The 11,236-nt window shown below is 38.1% G+C and overlaps 1 pseudogene, besides 1 other annotated feature; it reads right to left on the reverse strand.

Moving 5' to 3' along the window:
• Positions 1-1,141: 1,141 nt before the first annotated feature.
• On the reverse strand, positions 1,142-10,659 carry LOC112267976 (dnaJ homolog subfamily B member 6-like; annotated as a pseudogene).
• Positions 9,912-9,961: an enhancer, noted in NCBI's record as "active region_24768". NCBI's record gives its function as "activates an Ori minimal core promoter by ATAC-STARR-seq in GM12878 lymphoblastoid cells {active_cell/tissue: GM12878}" and the evidence as "EXISTENCE:reporter gene assay evidence [ECO:0000049][PMID:35858748]".
• Positions 10,660-11,236: the final 577 nt, after the last annotated feature.

An 11,236-nucleotide genomic window follows, 5' to 3' on the forward strand; every position in this document is an offset into this window, starting at 1 on the left:
GCAATGAGTGAGGCTCTGCGGGCATAGGACCCTCTGAGCCAGGTGCGGGATATAATCTCCTTGTGTGCCATTTGTTAAGCCCGTTGGAAAAGTGAGTATTAGGGTGGGAGTGACCGGATTTTCCAGGTGCCCTCTGTCACCCCTTTCTTTGACTAGGAAAGGGAACTCCCTGACCCCTTGTGCTTCCCGGGTGAGGCAATGCCTCACTCTGCTTCGGCTCACGCTCAGTGTGCTGCACCCACTGTCCTGCACCCACTGTCTGGCACTCCCCAGTGAGATGAACCCGGTACCTCAGTTGGAAATGCAGAAATCACCTGTCTTCTGCATCGCTCACGCTGGGAGCTATAGACTGGAGCTGTTCCTATTCAGTCATCTTGGCTCCACCGCTCTGAAACTTTAATAATTGCATAATGTCCTTCTTTATTTGTAAGTGCCTTTAACCATAAATCAACCTTGTCTGACAGTATACCATCACTCTTGCTTTCATTTCCTTTGCATTTGCTTATTTTTATGTCTTTTTTCACCAAACACATGTGCATTTATATATTTTTTAATAAAATCACAAAGACCCAGTTTACCAGCTTTACTTTTTAAATCCAAGCTTAACATTACATATTTAAACAATTGTCAAAACTTGCTAAGTTGTCAGCATTTATGCACAACTAGAAAACACCCTTAATTTATACTAAGCCAGAAATGTATTACCATTAATGCATTCATATCTATCACTGTGAGATACTGAAAAAATTGAAATTATTTCTATAAAAGGCTCATCCTGGCAATGTTAACTTCATAGCAGGCTGAAACTACTTGGTTTACATTTCAGACACAATGGACAAACAGATCCATGCTGGTGTTAGTGTACAATCTTGTTCAGCAATTTCTAGAGAGTCACTGTTCACCTTGGAGTAGGTTTAATATTAAAGCAAAGTGCATACAGAGATTTACAACACTTTTAAAGATAAAAGCAAATTGGTCCTATTATGTGGTCCCAACAATAAACTCAAAAGTCTATGACAAATAGTAGTTCTGATGAGTTATTTATAAATGCTTCAGATTAGGTACAATATACTGAAAATCAACTTCATTCAACATCTTCAAAATATGTTACTGCTAATCCTCAAATGGTGCTTATTAGAGTTTAACATTTCCATTCTATAGATGCATTGAAGTACGTGTTATCCAAGTGTGGATGATGCTCTTTACCATTTATTGTTAAGGACTTTAACTGGCCATCTTCTTCAACTTCTACTGTCTCTTAACCTCTTCCTAGTAATTTTTCTGCCATTAGCTATTTTAATAGGAGTTGATATAGATTTGAAGTTGCCCATCTCATTACTATCAAATGACTTGGAAATAATGCCTCCATGACCTAGTGACCCAAATGAAATAAACCCTGTTCCAAAAGAACAAAGCCCAATTCCAAAAGATGGGAGTACACTGAAGGCAGAGAAAAATGGCCCCATCCCTCGGCTTCTGTTTCTTTAGGAATCTCTTCAATTCCTCCCCATTCCCTGCAAAAATGCCCCCAAATGGGCCTTCAAAGAAGTCAGATGGAAATGGGTCCCTTCCACCAAAAACTTCCCTGAAGACGGAATGTTAAGCCAAACTCAGACTGTCAAAATGACTTCCATCTTCTCCACTACCATTTAATCCTTCTTTGCCATATTTGTCATAGATGTGTCTTTTTTTCTAGCATCTGGTAACACCTCACACACCTCACTACTCCGTGCTACTTCCTTATTTTCAGGATTATCTGGGTGGCAATTCAGTGCCAGTTTCCTGATATGCCTTTTTAATATGCTGGGGTAGGCAGGTCTGCACGCCTAGAACCTCACAGTAACCCCCATGCTTTAACACATGGTGAGAACAGGTCCGAGGATGTGTGGTGGTGGTGAGTAGCAGGACAGGTGGGTGGTGTGGTCTCCAGGTTCCTCTGGGCTCTGCAGCACTCTGTAGGGCTCCACAGAGCTGCGCTGGTGGCCACAGTGGCTCCTCATGCTTTCCTTCCTCTCCTTTCTCCAACAAACAGGAAGTATGACCTCCTATCTCTTGAGTTTTAATCTTTTTTTTTTAAACCACTTTGTTCTAAGTTGTTTGCAGTTAGGTTTTATATTTTAACAAATTTGACAATCTCTGACATTTAATGGAAGAAACTAGCCCATTTTTCTTTAATGTTATGATTGATATACTTACTTTTATGTTTTCTATTTTACTTTATGTCTTTTTTTTTAAATGTTTCTTCTGTTTCATTTTTCTCATTTCTGCTGATTCGATCAACTTACAATTTGTGCTATGTCTTCCCTTCTTTTTTTTTTTTTTTTTTTTGAGACAGAGTTTTGCTCTTGTTGCCCAGGCTAGAGTGCAATGGAGCTATCTCGGCTCACTGCAATCTCCACCTTCCCAGGTTCAAGTGATTCTCTTGCCTCAGCCTCCCAAGTAGCTGGGATTACAGGCATGCACCCCCACACCCAGCTAATTTTGTATTTTTAGTAGAGACAGGGTTTCACCATGTTGGCCAGGCTGGTCTCGAACGCCTGACCTCAGGTGACCCACCTTCCTTGGCCTCCCAAAGTGTTAGGATTACAGGCGTTAGCCACCGCACTCGGCCATGTCTTCCCTTCTTAATGTAAATATTCAACTCTACTTTTCCATTATATTTGTTTAATTAATTCCATGAATTATTATTTTCTTTTCCTGTACTGTCATTTTTCATGTAGATAATTTGCTTTTACTGGCTGGAAATTTGTACAACTTTATTTTATTCCAGGGCTTCACAAATTTCCCTGGATATGCCTAAGTGTGTGTTCTTTCCTCATTAACCCTGCCTATTTCTCTGCAATTTCTTTTAGTCTGTAGACTTGGGTCTTTAGCTCCCAGAAATTTTCTTATATTATCAGTTTTATAATTTATTTCTTTCTATTTCTATTACATGTTATGTCTACTAAATCTGTCCCCAAGTCTTCTTCTCTGTCCTCTCATGATTTCTATCCTGATTTCACATGAGTGTCCTTTGAGCTATTTCTTCCATAGTCTTTCAGGCCATTTTTTTTTTAACCTCTGGGATGACAATCCTCACCTTCAATTCATGTGCTAAGTTGTTTCATAGGGAAACTATGGCTTGTTTTAGCACCAGAAAATATGTGTGTGTGTGCATGTGTATATCACCTGCATCTTCTTGAACACTTTTCCCTTATGTTTCTCTTACAGCAGTTCTCTTTCACCAGGAATGTTGTATTTGTCCAGAGTGATCTTTGTCTCTCTGGGCTGTGGGCCCTTAGCAGGGTTTTTGTAGGTGTTGTTGTCTCAGACAGAGTCTTGCTCTGTCACCCAGGCTGGAGTGCAGTGGCACAATCTCAGCTCACTGCAACCTCCGCCTCCCAGGTCCAAGTGATTCTCCTGCCTCAGCCTCCCAAGTAGCTGGGATTACAGGTGTGCACTAACATGCCTGGCTAATTTTTGTATTTTTAGTACAGACAGGATTTCACTGTGTCTAGACTGGTCTCGAACTCCTGGCCTCAAGCAATCCACCCACCTCGACCTCCCAGAGTGCTGGGATTACAGGTGTGAGCCACTGTGCCCAGCCCTTAGCAGGGTTTTTACAGCATTAACATGTTCTGGGGTAGCTAATGAAGCACCTAAGCTCCTGGCAGTGTGGTGAGTGATGGATGGTGGCACTCCACCACACAGGCTGGCAATGCAATGGCAGGCAAGTTGCTAGTCTCTAGCTACCAGAAGAAGCCTCCAGGTTCCCAAACTTTTCCTCTAGCCTCAGGAATCACAGGACTTAGCATAACTACTCAGCAAATTTCTTGGCTTTTTTAGGGGTAGGGAGCCAGTGACTTTAATATGTGTCTTACACTACCTTCTTTCCATGGTAAGTGGATCCCTGAGGGGCAAGCTTTTTCCAAATCTTGTTTTCTGATCCTCTTCCTGGGTAATCTGATGTGGGTCTCAGGCTCTTGCCCAGACCCAGGGGAAGCCCTCACCTCAGTTTCTCCCCTGGGTACCCCCAGAACCCAAGGCCATGTTAACACCTAGCCCTGCATTGGTTTAAACTGCTGTTTGGCTCAAAATAGACATGTATCCTGGAGTTGTTAGTAGAAAGGTGGGTAGCAGCAATCATTTCCTAGAATCTTATCTTAGTTTACAAGACATTAATTTTAGCAGAGTAAAACAGGGAAATGTTTTTGTTCAAATGTCTTCCTTTTTTACCCTGTGGCTTAGTGATTTTATCCCACTTTTGTATAAACTGCTTTGCAATATATGCTAATGATGTTTTATTTTCTTGAACTATCAGTGGCCTCAGAGAAAACTGGTCTGACAGCCTATTATTGCCAATGGTAATGCTTTAATTACTTTAAACAAAAATAATCATTTTTGGTAGTTGGCCTCCAGCACTTGATTGATTTATATCAGATAACTTTAAATCACTGATCATTGTGTTTTATTACCTGGGAAAACAGTTTGCACACAGTTTATCTTGGAAGATTCTTCACAAAGTTAAATTGCTTAAAAATAGACATGGCACTTATACCAGACAGTCAGAATGACAGATAGATAGGATATAGATATAGATATAGATATAGATATAGATATAGATATATTGGGGTTGCCAGATTTAGCAAAAACAATAACTAGGGCATTCAGTTACATTTGAATTTTAAATAAACAATGAATAATTTTTTTAACTACAGTTACACTTTGTGTTATCTTATAGCCCAGCATGGAGGAAAACAATGAGGAAAATTAATGGATATTTTAGATTCCATTTTCTTTATTAAAAATCAATTTTATTTCTGGTATATACCAAGAGCCTATCAATTCATTTATTGAAAGGTAATTTTAAGCTATACTATCCTAGAGGCAATATAGTTTTGTGAGCTTTGACAAGCAGAATATGTAACCACCCCCACAGCAATCAAGATACAGAAGAGTTCTACCACTCCAAAATATTTCTTCCTGCAGCCCCTTTGTGATGAGCCCCTCTCTTTAATTCCACCCCAGGCAAGAACTGACCTAATTTTTGTCACTCTGCATTAGTTTGCATTTTCTAGAGTTTTATATAAATAGACTTATATAGTATGTACTCTTTGTCTGACTTCTTTCACTCAGCATAATTACTTTGAAATTCATCAGTTGTTGCATATATCAATAAATAGCTCATCTCATTTTGTTGCAGATAGTTTTCCATTGTATGGATATGCACAATTTGTTTATTCACTCATCTCTTGATGGACATTTGAGTTGTTTGCAGTTTGGGGCTCTTACAAATAAAGCTGCTATGAACCTTAATGTACAAGTGATATATGATTTCATTTCTTTTGGAAAAGATACCCAGGTATAGAATGACTGGATCATATGGCAATCGTATGCTTAACTTTAAATGAAACTACACAACAATTTCCAAAGTATGCTATTTTATATTCCTACCAGCAGTTGTTCCACATCCTCACTAATATCTGGTATTGTCAGACTTTTAAATACTAACCATTCTGATAGGTTCATAATGATGTCATATTGTGGTTTTAATTTGCATTTCCCTAATGACTAATGGTGTTGGGCATTTTTTCATGAGCCTATTTACCACCTTCTTTGGTGAAGAATATGTTCAAATCTTTTGCTTGCCTTTCTCCCGGCATCCCCCCAACCCTCAACACACCAGCCTTTTGACTTACCCATTTTCTCATTATTGGGTTTCAAGATTTCTTTATACTTTCTGGATATAAGTGCTTTAACTAGATATATCATTTGCAAATATTTTTCTCTCAGTCTGTGCCTTGTTTCTTTATTCTCTTAACAGTGTTTTTTGAAGAGCAGAAGTTTTAAATTTTCATGAAGTCCGGTTTATCAATTTGTGGCTTCATGGATCATGCTTTTGATCATTTAAGTCTATATTTCAAGTCAATTTTTGTATATGATGTGAGATGTAGATCAGTGTTCATTTTTTGCATATGTATTTCAATTCTTTCATTACATTTACTGAAAAGACTATCCTTTCTCCACTCAATTCCTTTACACCTTTGTTGAAAAACAGTTGTCTATAAATGTATGAGTCTATTTCTGGATTCCCTGTTATGTTTCAGTCATCTATTTAATGCTAATACTATATTGTCTGAGTCACTGTATCTTAATAAGACTTGAAATTAGGTATTAGTTGTTCTCCAATATTTTTTAGTTTGTCTTGGCTTTTACGTGTCCTTGGCATTTTCATTTGAATTTTATAATCAGCTTGTCAACGTCAATAAAAAGCTTGATAAGGTGTTAATTAGGATTGCATTAAATCTATAGATCAATTTATGGATTATTAATTGTTGATGATGACTATTGCAGTTGTTTCTGTCTAATAGATACTCAATGGCTCTACAAAACATGAGAATCACGACTATAGCTGATTGCTACTTGTTAAGTGCATATCTATATACCTGATACTACCAAAGAAATGTAATCATATACTGTTTTGCCCTTTCCAGTCAAAATAGTACGCTATTGAATATGAAAAGAAATCCCCACCTAAGAAAATCATCCTACCTCCACAAAGATGTATTACAAATTTGTATTTTAAAGTTAACCTGGAGGAAGATTGACACTTGTTGACATATAGAGGGCTAGTAATTTCCAAATGAGAACACCACCACAAAATATACAGAGTTGGGAGAGGGAAACACTGACAAATGGAACAGGAAGAAATCTGATGTGATCAAGTGTGGACATAAGACCTAACCTAGGGAGGTATTAGGTAGCTGTGAAATGATTCATAGTTTGCAACTTGGGTGACATATATTTTTCTATGACAAGAACTTGGAGTGAATTCTCCCTCTCCTCAAGACTGAGATGTCACACCTTATGAGACCCCATATACGAGCTATTGACCTCAACGATTGGACTTCAAAATACATATAAGCCCAAGAGTTTGACAGACACTTGAAGAGTTCAGTCTACTACAGGGCTATACTCTTGTTAGCCACTTGTCTGAAGACTGAGAGCTCAGTCTATGACAGGGCCACACCTGTTAGCCTTTGAGCTAATCTCTGAAACCTCACCATCCAACACCAGCACTGTCCTCTAGCATGGAGGGAACTTATGTGTCTTCACCAACCTTGGTGGTCTTCCTCCATCTAGTTGGTGAAGCCAGCCTCTCTCAAGAACCACTTGCATAAAGGTACACCTCAAACTTCCATTAGACTTTACTTTCCACAGAGGTCTGCCTCCATCATAATCGATCAACTAAACTTTAACAATTTTGGAACTCACTCACTATGTGGTTAATGTACCACGTTTATCAAGCATATTTCCTCGACATTTGTTCTTGCTATTCTCTCCCTCTTTAAGCATTGCCAACCTAAGAAAAAAATTATCTTGGTGTGGCAATAAATCATGTGATTCATGAAATCATACTTTCATCATCTCCTAATTTTACTCACAGAAAATAGGAGGACTTTTTAAAGGCTCAGGACTTTGACAGTGACACAAAAATAGAAAGAAGAAAAAGTCAAGTGGTTACTAGTACAGACAGGCATCTACATCAGAAGGGAGAAGTATGGTATGGTTGTACTTTATGTGTAAGTTTTAAAGGATCTGCCTGAGATGGATCACTGTCTCACAGTACTGGTTTCCTCCTCCTTCCATGATAATAAAATTTTAGCGAGGCACAGGGTGCCTTAGACAATAACTACATTCCCCAGACTCTTTCATATGTAGGTGTGGTTATTTCATTACATTATTGTTAATGAGATATGAGTGAAAATAATGTGTGCAATGTGGTAGCAAGCCATCTTGTACATGGGATGAGAACATCACTCTAGGGCAGTGGAAGAAGATTAAAAAGAACTTGAGTCCTAACCACTTGGAACTCATAATACTGGCTGTGAAATGCTTAATCTCAGACTATTATGTGAGGAGAAATACATTTTTTAATAGGACAAAGGCATGCAAATTTATTAATGTGCAAGCACGTGGGAGTCACAGAAAGTATGAAACTCCAAGAAATACATTTCTAATGTGTTTGAGCCACTGCTAATTTGACTCTCTATTATAGCTGCTGCCAAACTCATATAAGGGAGGATAACTGCTCACTGGGAGGTTGTATAAAAGGGTTCTGTTTAAAGTTTTCTATATTTTAAAGCTGAAATATTGGTAATATGAGCTAATATCCCCCCATAGAATCACAAACATAAAAATTAATATAGTGCATACCTCTGAGAGTCAAAGGATTAACATTCTCATTTTATTGAGAGGGGATATGTCTCCAAAGAGATGTTATAAAATTGATAAAATGTAGATTTTATTTTTTTTAGTCACACAGAGTTGGCTTTGAATAGCTGCCCTACCACTTAGTAATTGTTTAACATCAAGTCATCTTATTTTCCTTAACTTTGCTTTTCTATCTATAAAACACCATCCTCATGACCTTATTGTGAAGTTTAAATTAGATAATATCTAAAGTTCCAGGTTCTAGATACGACTTTAATTATAACCCTCTCCCCTCCCATCCTAGTCAAGATACAGAGACCATCCACTTTGTTGTAATTAATTGAGCAAGTTTGCTGTGCATTGGACATAGCTGTGGTAAAGCTGCCTCTTAATGATGATACACAGCCCATCATCAGTATATTTGGATAAGATCTAGCTGTCTAGATGCTAGCTACATCCAAATGAGCATTGCCTTGGTGCTAACAGTGGAATGAGTATAGAGGTCTTTTAATTCTAAGTTTTATGCTTTACTGTCTTTATCAGTGGTCCCAAACCTGTGTTACAGATCAGGCAGGAAATACAAATGAGGCCAGCTTGGTGAAGTGCATGTGCGCACACTGCAAGCAATGGAGGAATCTACTGCTACTTAGCACCTGAGGATTGGAAATGAGCTTTCCTGTTGCTAATTCCTGTAAATTTGCAAGGGAACCGCATGTCTGAATTTTTATGTGGAGTCTCCTGATTTTCAAATGTTTATGCATTTTTTTTAAAAACAGTGCTCAGGTTGAATAAATATGTCTGACCACCAGCTTATTGCTTCAGCTCTACCTACTGCTCACTTTGACCAGGACTGATTCTTCTCCGCTGCAGCAGGTGCATCTTGAGAAATAACATTCATAATAAATGTGCTTAACATCAGCGTTATTCATTTATCAACGTAGACCTATGTGCTTTGAACTGGTGCTTCTTCCAAATAAGACAGTAAGATTTTAAGTTAAAAATTCAATTATAATAAACTAAACACAGCAAACATACTTCAGTGCTACACTAGTTTAAAGGCTACCTGGAGCTAATTCTGTGTGTGTGCTTTTTTTCCCATTCACTCTGGGGAAGATGATGTAATAAATATTTCTATGTTTATTTGGAGTGTGAAGCCAAATACTCAAATGCTGAGTGCATTTTGAAAAATCAAAATCAGCAATTCAATTATTTTTCTTTATTAGAACAGCCAGGAGTGAGCTTGTTAAGATGGATCTGCTTTGTCGTAGCTTGCTCTGCTGGCAATGTCTAAACGAATTAAATGAATCACGAGTCAAAGAAATCTCACAGGCGGCTTTAATCTCCTGTCAGAAAGAATAGCTAACTGAGTCAAACATCAGTAATTTTTTTTTCTTGGCTCATCTTAGAGGGCTTGTGTTCTTAGCTACATATGTGTGGACTTGCATTTTAATCTTAAAATTACACTTCTACTATATTCTTAAGATGGGGAATTTGGGTATCTTCCATGTTAGTGATTTGCTGGTTCTCAAAGGTTACCCACATAAAAATACCATCTCTTTTCTGAAACTTATAAAAGACAATTTCTTTATCACTCAGTTCTACAAGAACCCAGCCACAGTTATATTTTCAGTTTTGGTAAGCCCAGCAAGTTCCCAAATTTCCATTCTGAGATTTTTCTTTTCTAGTATACATAATAGAAAAGTATATATGTCACAACATGAGTCTCTGTCAAGACCAAATGTGGGTGGAATGTGGTTTTCCTGAGTTTCATGTAAAATTCTCTGAAATATCCTGTGACTGAGAAATTTATGTCAGAGAGTAATCCAGAAATGAGGTCAGCCTTTTCTCTGCTGGGGAGGGCCATTGAGCTATTGAGAATCTGTGTTATTACCATTCCATTCAGTTCCTCTTTTAAGAACTAACTTAATAAGCTCCACTGGGCAAGTCTATTAACATCCCCTTCTACCACGACGGGTCTTTCCAAAGTGGAAAAATAAATGTAGTCAGTAGGTGTCACATGTTTATTTGGTTGAAGGCTATCATGTTGAAGAAACAATTCAGGAGTCTATGATGATACAAAGTGCTACAAAGGAAAGCTAAAGCATTCAGTTTCATTTTAAAGACATCTTTGCTCTTAGAATTTAGCATCATGGGCTGGTGGCTTATTAATTACACACAAAAAATACAACTATACATAGAGCAATAGCCATGTGCAAATATAAGGGTTCAGACACTTAAAATTTCTGGAAAGTATGATTGCCCAGTAAGTACGAACCACTTGCTCACATAAAACTATTGCAGGGCAATAACACTGTGGCTTGAAGCAAGAAATTAAAACTATCCCACCAAATGACTAGCTTAAACGACCTCTATAAGAATAAATAAACCAGGGTAATGAATGTGATGTCTATGTAAATACCGACCCAAATCCCTTACATTTACAGACTGTTTGTCATGTATAGCCATATCGGCACTAGCAAGCAGGAAAAGTCACTATCGGCAAACCAGAAATTGTGAGGTGCACCCAAAGAAAGAAAAAATCAATGGGCTTGGATTGACAAGAGTTGAGGAAACCCAAAATACATTATGTACATGAGGAAACCACTGAGACAATAAGACAAAATCCACTGAAATTCTAAAAATAAAGTGAAGAAATACCAGGAACTGAGCAGAGCACTGGGCAATAAAAATATAATTAATAATTTAATTAGGATAGGAGCCCCAGCAACTGAATTGCAAAAGCATCACTAACCTAAAGCTAAAATCCTCAAGATACAGGCCAAAGAAAACTTATACACCAGCTAGGATAGAATTCTAAGGAGGGTACAGCTGTCTGAGAGAGAAATGCAGTCAAACTAAAGGAATAAAAAAGCCCTGTCCAGGAGGGAGGATAGCCACCGTCGCAGAAAATTCCTTCTTTTTTTTTTTTTTTTTTTTTGAGATGGAGTCTCGCTCTATCTCCCAGGCTTGAGTGTAGTGGTGCGAACTTGGCTTACTGCAACTTCCGCCCCCCAGGTTCAAGCAATTCTCCTACCTCAGCCTC

The sequence above is a fragment of the Homo sapiens genome, chromosome 6, assembly GCF_000001405.40.
Source record: "Homo sapiens chromosome 6, GRCh38.p14 Primary Assembly".
NCBI classification, from domain to species: Eukaryota; Metazoa; Chordata; class Mammalia; order Primates; family Hominidae; genus Homo; species Homo sapiens.